Here is a 15,829-nt window from a genome sequence, read left to right as displayed (position 1 = left end):
GAGGCCATGAATCCAGCTGAAACTGGATAGTTATATCTGGTTCCTTCCTTTAGGAGGAATTTCAATTAGCAGTCTCTGCCACAGGCGACAGAATTCACTTTAATTGGTGGGCCTTAATTGGGTCATAATGGGTTGGTGGGAAGCAATATAGAATAGAGTTTAGAATCCAGGCGCGGTGGCTCAGGCCTGTCACCCCAGCACTTTGGGAGGCCAAGGCGGGAGAATCTCTGAGCCCAGCAGTTCAGCATAGACAACATAGTGAGACCCCCATCTCTACAAAATAAAAATTTAAAAATTAGCCAGACATGGTGGCACACGCCTGTAGTCCCAGCTACTCAGGAGTCTAAGGTGGGGGGGATGGCTTGAGCCCAGGAGTTCAAGGTTGCAGTGAGCGAAGATTGTGCCACTGCACTCCAGCCTGGGTGACAGAGCAAAACCCTGTCTCTAAAAAAATGAATATAAAATTTTTTTAAAAAGAATATGGAGCTTAAAGCTGGAGTCTGTCCAGTCCAACCACTTTGTTTTGGAGAAGTGTTTAAGACCCAGGAAGGGGAAGTGGTTCGTAGCACTTCCTGGGCTTCTTGTAGAGCAGAGGTCAGCAAACTTTTTCTGTAAGGGTGGGATAGTTAATACTTCCAGCTTTGCAGACCTTATAGTTTCTGTCACAACGACTGAACTCTGCTGTGTTAGACAAAAGAAGCCATGGATAATACAAATGAGCATGGCTGTGTTTCAATAAAACTTTATTTATACAAACAGGTGGTGGGCCAGGTTTGATCCCTGAGCTGTAGTTTGCCAACCCTTGTTGCAGAAAATAAGTGAGATTCCTGCAAAATGGGGAGCCTGGCACATCAGCACTGAAAAAGTAGCAGCTGCAGTTACTTTTGCAGGCGCCTCTTGTCACTACCGTCCCAGGGCATACAGCAGGCAGGTGGCAACACTGGAGTCTATGTTCTACCCTCTGTGCTGTGCTGAGCACAGTGCTGGGTCTCCTCCTCACTCTCGCCCTCCTCTGACCCACCTTAGAGCTTGCACTGTGGGACGACCTTTGCATTAGCACCTGTTTATGCCAAGTGCTACATGGGTTGGGGAGTGTTATGGTGGGGGCAGGAATAGGGGAGATAATCCTGCCCTCAGGGTGCTGTGCTGTCTAGATGAACACCTAGGAATTTTTTTTTTTTTTTTGAGACGGAGTCTCGCTGTGTCACGCAGGCTGGACTGCAGTGGCACAATCTCGGCTCACTGCAACCTCTGCCTCCTGGTTTCAAGCAGTTCTCCTGCATCAGCCTCCTGAGTAGCTAGGACTACAGGCATGTGCCACCACACCCGGCTATTTTTTTTTTTTTTTTTTGAGATGGAGTCTCACACTGTTGCCCAGGCTGGAGTGCAGTGGCGCAATCTCAGCTCACTGCAACCTCTGCCGCCCAGGTTCAAGCAATTCTCCTGCCTCAGCCTCTCGAGTAACTGGGATTACAGGTGCCCACCACCATGCCGGGCTAATTTTTGTATTTTCAGTAGAGACAGGGCTTCACTATGTTGGCCAGGCTGGTCTTGAACTCCTGACCTTGTGATCCACCCACCTCAGCCTCCCAAAGTGTCGGGATTACAGGTGTGAGCCACTGTGCCTGGCCTTTTCTTTTTTTTTTTTTTTTCGCGACAGTTTTGCTCTTCTTACCCAGGCTAGAGTGCGGTGGCATGGGCTTGGCTCACCACAACCTCCACCTGCTGGGTTCAAGCGATTCTCCTGCTTCAGCCTCCTGAGTGCTCGCGCCACCCTGCCCGGCTAATTTGTGTATTTTTAGTGGAGACAGGGTTTCACTATGTTGGCCAGGCTGGCCTCAAACTCATGACCTCGTGATCCTCCCACCTTGGCCTCCCAAAGTGTTGGGATTACAGGCGTGAGCCACCACGCCCGGCCTATAGGAATTTTAAAAACTATCTCAGGCTGAGAAATACCAGGCCAGGTTGGAGATGAGAGCCATCAGAGCAGCAGGTCCCTTGGCGCCCCTGAGCTCTCCCTTCTCTTCCCCCCAGGCTATGACTTTGCAGCCGTCCTGGAGTGGTTCGCGGAGCGTGTGGACCGCATCATCCTGCTCTTCGACGCCCACAAGCTGGACATCTCCGATGAGTTCTCGGAAGTGATCAAGGCTCTGAAGAACCATGAGGACAAGATCCGCGTGGTGCTGAACAAGGCAGACCAGATCGAGACGCAGCAGCTGATGCGGGTGTACGGGGCCCTCATGTGGTCCCTGGGCAAGATCATCAACACCCCCGAGGTGGTCAGGGTCTACATCGGCTCCTTCTGGTCCCACCCGCTCCTCATCCCCGACAACCGCAAGCTCTTTGAGGCCGAGGAGCAGGACCTCTTCAAGGACATCCAGTCACTGCCCCGAAACGCCGCCCTCAGGAAGCTCAATGACCTGATCAAGCGGGCACGGCTGGCCAAGGTAGACCCTGGGGTGAGGGGAGCAGCCTATTGCCAGGCAGGGCCATGGGGCTCTGAGACTGGCACTCAGGGCCCCAGGATTGCCCGAGACCCTTCCCAGCTCACTTCACAGGCAGACCTGCACTGCGCTGTTTCCCTCTATAGAAACCAGTCTTTGGTCAGCACCCGCGTGCAGCCTGCTCTTAACTAAGATTCTCTACCCGGCCTCCCTCTAAACCTGTTCTGTTTGTGGTTTATACCCCATCTACTTTCAGGAAGGGTTTGACTGTGCTTACAACACAGAAACAGCACACAGGAAGTTACCGCTGAAGCAAAGGAGGCAGCCTCAGAAATGGAGTGTTGGGGGATAGAGCTCTAAGGCTTGTTGGCTTCCCTCTAGGGTTTTTTGTTTTTGTTTTTGTTTTTGAAGCGGAGACTCGCTCTGTTGCCCAAGCTGGAGTGCAGTGGCATGATCTCGGCTCATAGCAACCTCCACCTCCCAGGTTCAAATGATTCTCCTACCTCAGCCTCCCGAGTAGCTGGGATCACAGGCACGCACCACTATGCCCAGCTGATTTTTGTATTTTTATTAGAGACAGGGTTTCACCATGTTGGCCAGGCTGGTCTCAAACTCCTGATCTCAGGTGATCTGCCCACCTCAGCCTCCCAGAGTGCTGGGATTACCCCTCTGGGGTTTACTGAGCCTGAAGTGCACTCAGCACAGTGCTGGATGCCGGGTACTGGCGGGGAGTGACACACAGCCCCTGTCCACTCCTCAGCCTTCATGGGGAAAGCAGAGCACGCAAACAAAAAATAAACATCAGTTATTTGTGTCGTCTCGGAGCGAGCACAGGCTGCTGCGGGAGCTGGCGCTAGGGGCTGTCCCAGTGGAGTAGAAGGGCTGGGGGGGCCTGGCAGGAGCTGAAGCTTAAGCTGTGACAGGAAGCAGCTCGTGAGGAGACAGGGTGCCAGCCTGCAGCCCGGGGAGCACTGTGCATGGAAGCCAAGGTCACGCTGAGGCAGTGTCAGTTCAGCAGGCCTTGCAGACCATCCTTAGGTCTCCTGGCAGCCCAGGCCTGGTGGCACCTATCAGCAGCCTCTGAATGGCCAAAGGGTTTGGAATCTCAGTGGCTGACCAAGTACTTGAGTGAGAGCCGGTGTGGGTGGGGCCAGGAAACAAAGGTTAATGCCACCAGCGGGCCCTTCCAACACAGAATGACAGAACACATGCCCTTGGCGTGTCTGACTTTGGATAGCACCCTATCGTGAGCCAGCCTAGACGAGTCACCATGAGTGACAGTCCCGGCTGTGGTTGGGGTTGACCCCGTGGACAGGAGTGTTTGACACAGATTGTCTGAACAGCTGAGAAGTGACCAAGCCCACATTTGTATCAGCAGGGCACCTAGCTATTCTTTCAGGCTCTTAGCACAGGGCTCGGTTGTTTCAGAAATAGGCTCCAGCCAGGCATGGTGGCTCATCCTGTAATTCCAGCACTTTGGGAGGCCAAGGTGGGTGGGCGCATCACCTGAGGTCAGGAGTTCGAGACCAGCCTGGCCAACATGGCAAAACCCCATCTCTACTAAAAAAAATACAAAAATTAGCCGGGCGTGGTGGTGCGTGCCTGTAATCCCAGCTACTTGGGAGGCTGAGACAGGAGAATCACTTGAACCCAGGAGGGAGAGGTTGCAGTGAGCTGAGATCACACCACTGCACTCCATCCCAGGTGGCAGAGCAAGACTCTGTCTCAAAAAAAAAGAAAAGAAATAGGCTCTGGCCAGGCATGGTGGCTCACGCCTGTAATCCCAGCACTTTGGGAGGCCAAAGCAGGAGGATCCCTTAAGGCCAGGAGTTAGAGACCAGCCTGAGCAACCTAGTGAGACCCTGTCTCTATTTAATTTAAAAAAAAAAAAAAAAAAAAAGGCCCTTGCCGTAGCTCCTATCTCCAGGCCAGCCAGGCCGGAGCGTGGCTGGGGAACTGTCCTGCCTGCCAAGCCAGGCCCTTTGGTGATACGTCCCCAGTTCTTCAACAGAGCAGGGTGCTTGCCCCCACCTCATGGCATGCAGGGGGTACCAGGGTAGACATCATGTGGGCATGAAGGCTTCAGTGACAGATGTGCCTGTGGCCAGGGTCACAGTCCCCTGATCTCCAGAATATAACTGAGGACTGAGGATGGGCACTTCCTGGGGAGCCCATGTCCCTGCCTGCTCAGAGGCATGGAGACTGCAGGCGTTGAGCACAGTGGCCCTCGTACCCACTCTGTCTGGAGGCCAGTCAGAGGGCATGTGGGTGCTACCTGGTCTGAGCAGTGAGAACTGACCCTTCATCCTTTGCCACCACTGTCCTCCCATTGTGCCCCAAGTACCCTGGGCCCCACCTCACCCTGTAGATGAGGAATTCTCATTCTGGCCTGAACCTCCGTGAGCTGTGTGCACGGGCGTGGGTCAGATGCCGGCTCTGGAGGACAGAGGGCTGCGTGTTTTTCTTATTTTTAATTTTATTATTTTATTTTTTGATTTTTTTGGAGATGGAGTTTCACTCTGTTACCTAGGCTGGAGTGCAGTGGCGCAATCTCGGCTCACTGCAACCTCCGCTTCCCAGGCTCAAGCCATTCTCCTGCCTCAGCCTCCTGAGTAGCTGGGATTGCAGGCGCCCGTCACCACACCCAGCTAATTTTTATATTTTAGTAGAGACGGGGTTTCACCATGTTGATCAGGCTGGTCTCGAACTCCTGACTTTAGGTGATCCGCCTGCCTCGGCCTCCCAAAATGCTGGGATTACAGGCGTGAGCCACCGCGCCCGGCTGGCTGGATGTTTTTCTAGATCTCTCCCTTCTGGAGCCTCCCTGTGAGTGGAGCCAGCTTTGAGAGAGGAACCCATACAAAAACCCAGGTGACTGACCCTGGCCTCAAAGGACAAAGGACGTCCTGAGCTGAGGGGTGTGGGTGTGGCCCTAGCTGAGTTTCTCTCCTTGCAGGGCAGAGAGAGCTCCCTTGCTCAGCCACCTTTGAGGACAGACAGGACAAGGGGCAGGCATGAGCCCCTGCCTGGTCGTCTGTGAGACCATGTGTGACTGCCAGGCCCCAGGCACACTGAGTCACCGCGCCTGGAAAACCCTGTGGCCTCCAGTGTTGCCTCACACCTGCCACTTCCTTTTCCTGGAGTGAGTGGTGCTCTCTGTGATGACTCCCACCGGCCTGGGATCTGCCTGCCACAGTGTCCCTGGGGAGACTCTAGATCCAGACCCACATGGCACGGGGCTGCCTCCCTCAGGCAGTTCTCAGCCAGGCCCCCACCCAGGGCACAGGCTCAGGCTGAGCGGGGTGGTGGATGGGCTGGAGCCGGGGAGAAGGGCAGCAAGGCTGGCTGGCCGCAGCCCTCTGTGGCTGGACACGACTTGGCAAGGCCGAGGGATCTGAGGGCTGGGCTACTCTCGAGGGCTGCCAGGTTCCCAGCTTGCTGCAGGGAAATGAAGGGGGTGCCGCCCTGAACAGGCACATGCCTAAGCAAGGTATTGATGCTTGGATAAAGCTGGCAACCACCAGGAGAAGCCTTTTTGGGATTTTTCAAATCCTTCGTCATCCGAGCTGTGATGATGGAGTGGAGCGTGGCACGGGCCCATTGGAGTTCTGTGGGCTCCATCGGCACTCAGCAGGGATTTGGACGTGCAGGCTGGTGGGCCCTGCAGGAAGCCTGCTCCCTGCTCTGCTGCGTGGGAGGGGGCAGCTCGGGGGAAGGGGGCTTGCAGAGAAACAGAAGAACATGGGCTGTGGGGCACCTTCAGCAGCCCGGGGTTCCAATCCCAGCTCCTCCATGTGGGAGCCAAGCACCCCAGGCAGCCTTTCCCAGCCTTGCTTAGGGCCGGGTTGGGAGAATCCCACCCCGCAGGGCTGTGGTGAGGGTTGAACGGAGGGTGTGTGGTGAGGGTTGAGCGGAGGGTGTGTGATGCGTGGTGAGGGTTGAGCGGAGGGTGTGTGATGCGTGGTGAGGGTTGAGCGGAGGGTGTGTGATGCGTGGTGAGGGTTGAGCGGAGGGTGTGTGATGCGTGGTGAGGGTTGAGCGGAGGGTGTGTGATGCGTGGTGAGGGTTGAACAGAGGGTGTGTGATGTGCCCAGTGGTACACGACAAATTGCCTTCTTTGGGTTGACAGACTGGGTTTTACTCTTCCTGAATCATCACAATGATCCGTGCAAGGCCAAGGCTGTTGTCTTCTGTTTCAAGTGCGTTTTCCTGTCCTGTCCTCTGTCCTGTGGCAGTGGACAGCTGTGGCTCTTGCCAGATTGTGTCTGCTCCTAGGACTGTGGGAGCCGGTGGTGGTAGCGGCCTTGAGCTTGACCCATCCCTCCTGCTTCCCTGTTCCTGAGCGAGCACCTTGGAGTATCCTTGGAGTGTCCTTGGAGGCTCTGCTCTCGGGGGCAGCCTGGGCCAAGAGAGCGCCTGATGCTCACCCCGTCCTCACAGGTTCACGCCTACATCATCAGCTCCCTCAAGAAAGAGATGCCCAATGTCTTTGGTAAAGAGAGCAAAAAGAAAGAGCTGGTGAACAACCTCGGAGAGATCTACCAGAAGATTGAGCGCGAGCACCAGATCTCCCCTGGGGACTTCCCGAGCCTCCGCAAGATGCAGGTACGGCTGTCCCGAGGCCCCATGCAGGCTGGTGGCCATCAGGGCAGAAGGAAGGCCCAGGGCACTGGATTTGGAGGGAATCCCATCTCCATGGGGAAGGGCCTCCCTGAACGGAAGCAGCTGGGTTAATCACCAGCACCCCACCCAACTCAGAGTTGACCCAGGCGGTGACACTGCAGAGGGGAATGTGGTGACTCACCCTGCGTGGTGGGGGGAGGGCAGGGCCATGCCAGGCGCTCTGGTGCCCTGTCCATGAATCCTTGCCGCAGCCCTGCAAGGAAAGAGCTGGAGGTGCCTCCTGTGTACAGGTTAGAGAGCCAAGGGCCAGATGGTTTTGCCGAGTCGCCCCTGCTAGTGTGGGGGAGCAGCACTTTATGCTTGTGAAGCCCTGACTGGAACCACTTGGCCTGGAGTCTGGGAGGGGCCTCCCTTCCCAGCCCTTGTCCTTCCTCCCCCGCCCACAGGAACTCCTGCAGACCCAGGACTTCAGCAAGTTCCAGGCGCTGAAGCCCAAGCTGCTGGACACGGTGGATGACATGCTGGCCAACGACATCGCGCGGCTGATGGTGATGGTGCGGCAGGAGGAGTCCCTGATGCCTTCCCAGGTGGTCAAGGGCGGCGCCTTTGACGGCACCATGAACGGGCCGTTCGGGCACGGCTACGGCGAGGGGGCCGGCGAGGGCATCGACGACGTGGAGTGGGTGGTGGGCAAGGACAAGCCCACCTACGACGAGATCTTCTACACGCTGTCCCCTGTCAACGGCAAGATCACGGGCGCCAACGCCAAGAAGGAGATGGTGAAGTCCAAGCTCCCCAACACCGTGCTAGGGAAGATCTGGAAGCTGGCCGACGTGGACAAGGACGGGCTGCTGGACGACGAGGAGTTCGCGCTGGCCAACCACCTCATCAAGGTCAAGCTGGAGGGCCACGAGCTGCCCGCCGACCTGCCCCCGCACCTGGTGCCGCCCTCCAAGCGCAGACATGAGTGATGGCGCCCGGCCCCGCACCTGCCATTTGCACGCCCGGCCGGGAGGCAGAGACGGGGGGAGGGGAAGCCTCACCATTTCTCAAGGTCCATAAAGACTGAGCGGATGTTTCCTCGCCTCTCGAAAAGGAAAACCACCATCTTTCTTTTAAGGCTGTTCCTGGGCCTGGCGGGGGAGGCAGGGGTGAGAGGATGGAATTGTGTGCACAAGAACTGTGGCTATTTTAATATATAACGTTAGAGGCTGCGTTCTTTGTCGCCGCCTCCCCTGTGTGCCAGCCCTGTGTGCACGGCCTCTGCCCCCCGGCCTTTGCTGTGGCTGGAGCTGGACAGTGCAGCGACTGCGACCGTGGGGGAGCCAGGTCGCCCTTTTGGCAGCTGCTAGGCTGAGGCTGCATGGACAGGAACACCAGGCACCCTCCGTGTGCTTCTGAGCTGAGGTTGCTTCACGGGACCGTGGCTTCCTTCCTCACCTGGCTCTGCCTCCCCCGTGCTCTCGGGCGAAGTGGGTTCTTGTGCCTTCCCCTCCCGGGCCCAGGCTCCCCGTGCGCGGGCCCTGCCCTTTCCTCCCGCGCCCCACCGGCTCCGACGCGCAACCCCGCTCAGCAGTCACAGAAGCAGGGCCCAGCCACCTTGGTCTTTTTTTGGGAGTTCAGGGGAGTAGGAGAATGTCTTCCAGAAAAATACATAAGCTAGTTTCTGTTCTGTAAAGTGATATCTTTCATACTTGACCAAAGTTCCCAATAACTTCCCAACCACTGTTCAAAAGCTGTGATTTTTGTCTCCCCTTCCCACCCTCCAGCCAAGGAGCAGCCCTGCCCAGGGGGCATTAGGTGTGGGTACCCGGGGAGCACCCCGTTCCTGGACCCCAGTGTTGCATTTCCTGGCTGAGGAAGGGTGGTCATCCCAGCTCCTGCCCTACCCTCTCACTTAACTGGAGCTTTGGGACGCACCCTCCACAGTGGGAGGTGGTGGTGGGTGGCGGTGGCGGGGCCTCACGACAGCTTGGTGCTGGTAAGAGGAAGCCCGTGGTTCTGGCTAGGCTCTCATGTCCAGACAGCGGGGACCAGGGGAAAACCCAGCCCCTTCTGTAATCCCCCTTCATTTCCTACCTTCCTTCCTCCTCTGTTTAGCAAAGGAGGGCAGCTCACTTGGATGTCCTTACAACGCCCCTGGCCCCCAGGTTGAGCAATAAGAAACCAGAACCTTGCGGCCCAGTGGCCCGGGCCAGTTCAGGCCGCCTCCCCCTCCTCTGCCTGGGGCCATTGAGCCCAGCCTCCAGGGCCCGGGCGCGTTTGCAGGCCAGTGGCCACTGTCCGGGCTGTGATGGCACCAAGGCAGGTGGAGCACCAGGTACCACACAGCTGGGCTTCCCACCAGGCTTTCCCGCGGGGGTCTCAGGGAGCTTCTCCCCAGCGCTGCTCGGAGTCTGCAGGAACTGGCCTTGTTCTCCTTAGCCCGTCACTCCATACAGTATTAGGTGAGGATGGATGCGGGCGCTGTCCTTGCCGGGAAGTCACTGTTGAAGTTGCAGTGGCTTGTTCACACCTGTGGGAAGAGAAGTGAAGACTTTCTCCTTGCATTAAAAAGTCTGAACTGTGCGAAAGCTTCGGGTGCTTCCTTGTCTTTTCCAGGGGCAGCAGTCCTGGGCCATCCTCCCCTGGTGTCTGAGGGGGTGATGCCAGCAGGGACAGAGTGGCAAGGCAGCCGGGGCAAGGTGACCAACCCTGCCCAGTCCTGCTCTGCTGGGCAGTAGCTGCCCCCTCCTACTAAGAGGGCCAGGCCTGTAGGGAAAAGGGTTTCTGGGGTGATGCCCCCTTCCCTGAGCAAGGTGGGAGCTGAGCAGTTCACTTGGGGTGGGGAGGGGGGAAACAGTTGGGAGGATGTTGATAGCTGAGGCCTAGGCTGGCACCCCTCAGCCACAGACGGATGAGTGGGCACCTGCAGGCCCTCGGCACTGGGTGGCATCAAGTAAACAAGGGTTTCTGGGCTTTGGAGCCAGACTGGCTCCTTGCTAGCCCCAAGGACGGTTTAAGTACAGGGAAGCCGGGCCTCTGAAGACAAAGCAGATAGCCTGTGACAAACATGCAACTAAGGGTGGGGCCAGTCAGGCCCAGGTGATGTCACAGATGGGGGACTGTTTATACCAGCAGAGGGAAGGGTGACTGATTAGTGACCCTTCATAAAAGGGTGCAGACTTGAGGTGCCATGGGTAGAGGCTGCTCCAGCCCCTCTGGCAGAAGGCAGGACAGAAACAAGTTCCTGAGGGTTTCAGGGACCCAGTTGTGTGCTCCGAGCCTAGCTGGTGTGGTGGTGTCTGGTCCTATGACCAGCACTTGAGGTGCCAGTGGATGCTTCAGTTGCTGCAGGGCTGGCCGGCCCTCCCTGCGTCACTCAGCTGCCACCTGTGGGCATTCACCCTGTGCCAGGTGGAGCTGCGCTGTCACGATCTGAGGAAGTTCATGTTCCCCCATTTCACAGAGGGAGAGTCCGAGACTGAGGACTGCCGAAATAACAAAGGTGGTAGAAGCAGATGCAAACCAGGCCGTCCAACTCCAGCGTGCTTTCCATCAGGTTACTAATCCAAAGCACACACTAAGAGGAAAAAACGGTAGATCCCCCCAACCCCACCCTTAGACTGCAGCTGTACTCAGGGCTGAGAGACCCACATTAAAGGTTAAATGCTGTCACTCCAGCCTGGGGTCCTGAAAGCTTGGGGCAGGGGTCACCCAAGGGAGGTGGAGCATTTTTGTTCAAGCTGTGAGCACATTAGAGAAGGCACAGAACTTAGCAGTGCCCCTGAACTAGGAGGAAGGGAAGTGCTGCCTGGCCGCCCGCTCTCCTTCCCGGAGCACTCCACCTGCAGGGCTCTGTGTGGCCACAGAGGGGCTGTGAACCCCCTGGGGCTGCCCCAGGAAGCGCCTGCTGATCTGAGGCTTGAAAGGGGCTGAGGGCAGGTGTCTGCCCCAGAGTTCATAGCCCTGGTTTCGGTTCTACAGGTTGGGGATCATCTTTGGGCTCCGACCGGGGTTCAGGGAGGACCAGAGGATGTGGTCAGAGATGTGGCCGCCCACCTAGAGGGCTAGTCCCAGCCCTCGCCTCCTCCCTAGATCCATAGCTGGCCATGACCCTGGGGAAGAAGCCTCCTCTTCAGAGGCTGGCCTGGGGCAAAGGAGGGGCATTGCCACCCAGCTACCAGAGCCCGTGGACTGAGGCCTTCAGGGCAATCTGTCGCCCACGCAGCACCTCACAGCCCAGGACCCAAGAGGCAAAGGGCCCGCCCACTGCCTCTGGCCATGCACAGCTGTTTTCTATGTTGCAGTTCCTTGTAAGATCTCATTCAGAATAAACATTTCTGGCTGGGTTTGGTTCACACCTATAATCCCAGCACTTTGGGAGACCAAGGTTGGGGGTGAGGTGGGGTCGTGTGAGGCCGGGAGTTCAAGACCAGCCTGGGCAACATAGTGAGACCCGCCCCCCCCCCCGCCCCCACACCATCTCTACCAAAACAAAAATTAGCCAAGAGTGGTGATGGGTGTCTGTGGGTAGTCCCAGCTACTTGAGAGGCTGAGGTGGAAGGTTCACTTGAGCCTGGGAGTTTGAGGCTGCAGTGAGCTATGATGGCATCACTGTACTCCAGCCTGGGCAACACAGTGAGACACTGTCTCTATTTAAAAAAAATTTTTTTTAAATAAACATTTCTTCTCCTTAGAAAAGAAGTTAACCACAAATCCAGTCAGTGCCCTGTTCTTATCTCAAATGGGTGTTCTAGAAGAATAGACCAGTAAAAAATAAATAATGGCCGGGTACGGTGGCTCACATCTGTAATCTCAGCAATTTGAGAGGCCGAGGAGAGTGGATCACATAAGGTCAGGAGTTTGAGACCAGCCTGGCCAATACGGTGAAACCCTGTCTCTACTAAAAATACAAAAATTAGCCAGATGTGCTGGCTCTCGCCTATAATGCCAGCTACTTGGGAGGCCAAGGCACAAGAATCGCTTGAACCCAGGAGGCAGAGTTTGCAGTGAGCCAAGATCGCACCATCGCACTGCAGCCTGGGCGTCAGAGCAAGACTACGTCTCAAAAATAAATACATAAAATAAATCAAATGGGCTAGTCATAGGACTTGCCCGGCCACGGCCAGCAAGGTGGTGAGAGTTGGGAGGTGAGAACATCCGGCCACCACTCCTGTGTTAAAAGCGCACCAGGTCTGGCAGCACGTGGAGGGCAGCCTTGGGGAGACCGCCCTGAGTTCAACTCCCAGCTCTGCCACTCTAGCCAGATCTCTTCCCCCACTGAGGCCATTTCCTCAAGCCTTAATTCAGGAACAGATGTGGCCCACAGAGGCAGAGCCCGAGGACACCCACCTTGAGCGGCCTTTGCCAAGCACCCCAAGGAGGTTAGTCGGGTGGGGTGCAGGGAGCAGGGCACCTCACCCAATACCCAGAACAAAACAGGCCAGCCCCTCCCTTCCCTGAAGCAGCTCCCAGACTCAGTGGCGCCTGTAGGCTAGTGAGGTGGTGGCCAAGTGGGCTCGGGCCTGGCTTCCTGTGCACCCAGAGGGACTGATAATTGTAAAACCACATGGGGCTGCAGCCGCTGCAGAGCGTGGGAGCCCCTATGGCTTGTTGGAACACTGCAGGGAAGGTTTTTGGAAGAAAAACCAGGATGATGAAACCACCATATGTCCACCCATTTGGAGCTTTGGACTTTTCATAGGACACGCCCCTGGTGCTGGGCAGATGGGGTTGGGGAGGGGGCTGCCAGGACTAGCTGGGGGACTGGGGGGTCCACACCCCTAGCATTTGCATCAGCTCCTTCCCAAAGCCATCCCAACAGACGCACCTTCAAATAAGAGCCAGGCATCTGAGGCTCAAGGGTGGGCTTAGGGAGCTCCCCGGCTCCAATCACATTGCCGCCCGTGCTCCTTCAGAGAAAGGTTGGGACGGCCATTGGTGGCCATACTGGGAAGCTCATTTGTCTCTCACACCTGAACAGGTGCAGTTCTCCATTATACACAAAAAGACAGCGTCCAGAGAGTGAGGAAGAGATCTACCCAAGGCCCCACGCCTGGTCAGCAGCGGGCAGGGCTGCAGGACCCAAGGCCAGCCTCTCATGTCCTGACCTCCTGGGTAGGAGCGGGCCACTATGCCATGTGCACGTTTCCAGAGTGGCTAAGGGCAGGGGGCGGCCGCCATTCCTGCCAGCCCTGAAGAACCATCTGGTGGGAGCTGCTTCCCGAGGCCACGGCTGGAGACTCTCATCCTAGGCCTTCCCCTGAAGGCTGATTCTCAGGACTTTGAGGAAGGGGGCGCTCCAACCCTGGGCTCAGCAGCCCTCCAATGTGGCCAGGATGCCACAGACCTGGGCAACCTGCCTTGTGTCTGGGCTCCCAGCCACAGAGGGCTATGCCCTTGGGGGCAGACACAGGGTTCCCTGCCACTTCCTCATGCTGGGTTCTCAGGTCCTCTCCCTGCCCCAACACACCTGCCCTCTGCAGGGCGAGTCTGCACTCAAGGAAGGAGCTCAAGGCTGGCACCACCTCCCTCCCCAGCTTCCATGCATTAGTCTATAAAGGAGGGTAATAACTCTCTCCTAGTGTGGCCCTTGTGAAGATAATAGATCTAAAGTCACTTTAAGTTACCAAGAGGCCCCTTACACTTGCAAGCTGTTATCAGCATGAGTGCTCCCCACAGAGCTGGGTGAGAGAGCTAGTGATGTCCCTCAGTACCAAGGGGCTTGCGGGATGAGTGAGAGGCTGCGGGGGGTAGCTGAGCCCTCCTGCACCTGGGGAGTAGTCGACCATGGAGGAGGCATTTGAATGAAGGTACCCTGGTGAGAAGGAAAGGAAAGAGGGTGGCCTGACTGCCTGGACAGGGTGTGACTGAGGCTCTCGGGGGTGTCTCCTGTCAAGACTCACCCATCCCTGTGAGCTGGGCCTTGGGCTGTGCCATGCTCAGGGCTCTGTGGGGAGCGTGTCAAGGCTGCTGTGGCCCTAGTGGTCTGGCCCCACAGGATCAGAAAACAGATCTGCTGAGCCAACATGGTGCCATGCCCTGGAGCTGCTTCGGGCAGTCAGGGCTGGAGGCCTGGCTGCTTGCTAAGGCTGGAATAAGCTCAGAAAGAGACTGAGCCTTTACAGACTTCCTTCCATTGGAGCTGCAAAGGAATGAGCAGGGGGCCCAACCCTCCCCCTTTATTTTTATTTATTTATTTATTTTGGAGACATGGTCTCATTCTGTCACCTAGGCTGGAGTGCAGTGGCACAATCTCAGCTCACTGCAAGCTCTGCCTCCCAGGTTCAAGTGATTCTCCTTTCTCAGCCTCCCGAGTAGCTGGGACTGCAGGTGTGTGTCACCATTCCAGGCTAATTTTTGTATTTTTAGTAGAGACAGGGTTTTGCCATGTTGACCAGGCTGGTCTTGAATTCCTGGGCTCAAGTGATCCGCCCACCTTGGCCTCCCGAGTAGCTGGAACTACAGGCTCTCACCACCACACTCAGCTAATTTTTAAGTTCGTTTGTAGAGATGAGGTCTCACTATGTCACCCAGGCTGATCTTGAACTTCTGGGCTCAAGTGATCCTCCCACCTCGGCCTCCCAAAATGCTGGGCTTACAGGCATGAGCCACCATGCCCGGACCCAACCCCCTTTTACAGACAAGGAAATTGAGGCTTACAAGACAGATGTGACAAAAACTAATAAAGGACCAGAAAGAATCACGTGTGAGAGGCGGGAGGTGCCGAATGCCAGTCCCAGCCCTGCCCCGTGCAGCCCTGGCCTCAGCCCTGGGACTCAGTGTCCACTCAGCTATACTGTGTGGGGATGGACAGATGGCTGGGGATGAACCTTTCTGAGAACTTACCAGAGAGGTTAAGGGACTTGCCTGAGGTCACACAGGGAGTGAGGCAGGGCCCAGAGGCCTCACCAGGGGTGTCCACGAGGGGCAGCGGAGGAGAGGCCCATCTTCCCACCCAGGAGCCCTTCCCTATCTCCGGTTCCCTAATGCTGGCTGGAGCGCCTGTCCCTCCTCTGGTCTCTGGCGCCCCCGTGTGGCCTCAGTGAGCAAGCCCCTTCCTACCTCCTGTGGGCTCCACCCCTGCCCCGCCCCTATAAGGAGGGCTCAGAATCTCTCAGGTGAGAGGGATCTGAACTCCTGCCCCCTCCCCCTTCCAGGAGACCAGAGGCAATGAAGGGGATCCCCAGAGTTTGGTTTGAATCCTGGCTCCCCATCCCATTCTGGTTGATTTAGGTAATACACCCAGACTCTGTTTCCCCAAACATTTCTCAGCCCATGGGCCCTGCGTAGCTACAGGGCGGGCCTCTGGGGAGATCACATGGGAGGCAGGGCGAGTCTGAGACCAGCCCCGGGCAATGTAGAGAGACCCCAGCTCTAAAAAAAAAATTAAAAATTAACCAGGCGTGGTGGTGCAGGCTTGCGGTCCCAGCTACTCAGGAGGCTGAGGTGGGAGGATCACTTGAGCCCAGTATGTTGAGGCTGCAGTGAGCTGAGATTGCATCACTGCACTCCAGCCTGGGTGACAGAGCAAGACCCTGTCTCAAAAAAAGGCTGGGTATGGTGGCTCATGCCTGTAATCCCAGCACTTTGGGAGGCCGAGGTGGGCGGATCACCTGAGGTCAGACCAGCTTGGCCAACGTGGCAATATAGTGCAACCCTGTCTCTTTAAAATAAATAAATAAATAAACAAATAATCACATGAAAAACCCTTCGTGGGGAGAAACACCCTGTTTGCTTCAAACATTCATGGAACACCTCCTCCCTCAACCTGATCCTGC

At 56.6% G+C, this 15,829-nt stretch overlaps 1 protein-coding gene across 3 annotated transcripts in view, besides 13 other annotated features; it reads left to right on the top strand.

Annotated features, from left to right (window-relative positions):
• EHD1 (EH domain containing 1) overlaps positions 1-10,729 on the top strand; it is a 28,052-nt gene extending 17,323 nt beyond the window's left edge. For all 3 annotated transcript variants that reach the window (NM_001282445.2, NM_001282444.2, NM_006795.4), the window contains 3 exons: positions 2,035-2,447; positions 6,885-7,049; positions 7,514-10,729. In NM_001282445.2, the coding sequence (NP_001269374.1) occupies positions 2,035-2,447; positions 6,885-7,049; positions 7,514-8,038 (1,103 nt within the window). In that variant the 3' untranslated portion in view covers positions 8,039-10,729. The remainder of the gene's footprint in view (positions 1-2,034; positions 2,448-6,884; positions 7,050-7,513) is intronic.
• Positions 833-962: an enhancer, noted in NCBI's record as "active region_4925". NCBI's record gives its function as "activates an Ori minimal core promoter by ATAC-STARR-seq in GM12878 lymphoblastoid cells {active_cell/tissue: GM12878}" and the evidence as "EXISTENCE:reporter gene assay evidence [ECO:0000049][PMID:35858748]".
• Positions 1,093-1,142: an enhancer, noted in NCBI's record as "active region_4924". NCBI's record gives its function as "activates an Ori minimal core promoter by ATAC-STARR-seq in GM12878 lymphoblastoid cells {active_cell/tissue: GM12878}" and the evidence as "EXISTENCE:reporter gene assay evidence [ECO:0000049][PMID:35858748]".
• Positions 3,355-3,424: an enhancer, noted in NCBI's record as "active region_4923". NCBI's record gives its function as "activates an Ori minimal core promoter by ATAC-STARR-seq in GM12878 lymphoblastoid cells {active_cell/tissue: GM12878}" and the evidence as "EXISTENCE:reporter gene assay evidence [ECO:0000049][PMID:35858748]".
• Positions 6,595-7,794: an enhancer, noted in NCBI's record as "P300/CBP strongly-dependent group 1 enhancer chr11:64622049-64623248 (GRCh37/hg19 assembly coordinates)". NCBI's record gives its function as "activates an origin of replication core promoter dependent on BRD2, BRD4, P300/CBP, MED14 and CDK7 cofactors, with strong dependence on P300/CBP, by STARR-seq in HCT116 cells {active_cell/tissue: HCT116}" and the evidence as "EXISTENCE:reporter gene assay evidence [ECO:0000049][PMID:35650434]".
• Positions 6,595-8,040: a biological region, named in NCBI's record as "P300/CBP strongly-dependent group 1 enhancer GRCh37_chr11:64622049-64623248".
• Positions 7,042-8,040: an enhancer, noted in NCBI's record as "H3K27ac-H3K4me1 hESC enhancer chr11:64621803-64622801 (GRCh37/hg19 assembly coordinates)". NCBI's record gives its function as "activates a minimal SCP1, AML or CMV promoter by ChIP-STARR-seq in naive H9 embryonic stem cells {active_cell/tissue: H9 hESC(naive)}" and the evidence as "EXISTENCE:reporter gene assay evidence [ECO:0000049][PMID:30033119]".
• Positions 7,294-7,353: an enhancer, noted in NCBI's record as "active region_4922". NCBI's record gives its function as "activates an Ori minimal core promoter by ATAC-STARR-seq in GM12878 lymphoblastoid cells {active_cell/tissue: GM12878}" and the evidence as "EXISTENCE:reporter gene assay evidence [ECO:0000049][PMID:35858748]".
• Positions 8,041-9,039: an enhancer, noted in NCBI's record as "H3K27ac-H3K4me1 hESC enhancer chr11:64620804-64621802 (GRCh37/hg19 assembly coordinates)". NCBI's record gives its function as "activates a minimal SCP1, AML or CMV promoter by ChIP-STARR-seq in naive H9 embryonic stem cells {active_cell/tissue: H9 hESC(naive)}" and the evidence as "EXISTENCE:reporter gene assay evidence [ECO:0000049][PMID:30033119]".
• Positions 8,637-8,696: a silencer, noted in NCBI's record as "silent region_3496". NCBI's record gives its function as "represses an Ori minimal core promoter by ATAC-STARR-seq in GM12878 lymphoblastoid cells {active_cell/tissue: GM12878}" and the evidence as "EXISTENCE:reporter gene assay evidence [ECO:0000049][PMID:35858748]".
• Positions 10,357-10,486: an enhancer, noted in NCBI's record as "active region_4921". NCBI's record gives its function as "activates an Ori minimal core promoter by ATAC-STARR-seq in GM12878 lymphoblastoid cells {active_cell/tissue: GM12878}" and the evidence as "EXISTENCE:reporter gene assay evidence [ECO:0000049][PMID:35858748]".
• Positions 10,657-10,706: an enhancer, noted in NCBI's record as "active region_4920". NCBI's record gives its function as "activates an Ori minimal core promoter by ATAC-STARR-seq in GM12878 lymphoblastoid cells {active_cell/tissue: GM12878}" and the evidence as "EXISTENCE:reporter gene assay evidence [ECO:0000049][PMID:35858748]".
• Positions 14,763-14,832: an enhancer, noted in NCBI's record as "active region_4919". NCBI's record gives its function as "activates an Ori minimal core promoter by ATAC-STARR-seq in GM12878 lymphoblastoid cells {active_cell/tissue: GM12878}" and the evidence as "EXISTENCE:reporter gene assay evidence [ECO:0000049][PMID:35858748]".
• Positions 15,133-15,222: a silencer, noted in NCBI's record as "silent region_3495". NCBI's record gives its function as "represses an Ori minimal core promoter by ATAC-STARR-seq in GM12878 lymphoblastoid cells {active_cell/tissue: GM12878}" and the evidence as "EXISTENCE:reporter gene assay evidence [ECO:0000049][PMID:35858748]".

Source organism: Homo sapiens, chromosome 11, assembly GCF_000001405.40.
Source record: "Homo sapiens chromosome 11, GRCh38.p14 Primary Assembly".
Classification (NCBI taxonomy): Eukaryota; Metazoa; Chordata; class Mammalia; order Primates; family Hominidae; genus Homo; species Homo sapiens.
Note: the sequence above shows the minus strand (reverse complement) of the source record. Positions and strands in the feature narration are given on the sequence as shown.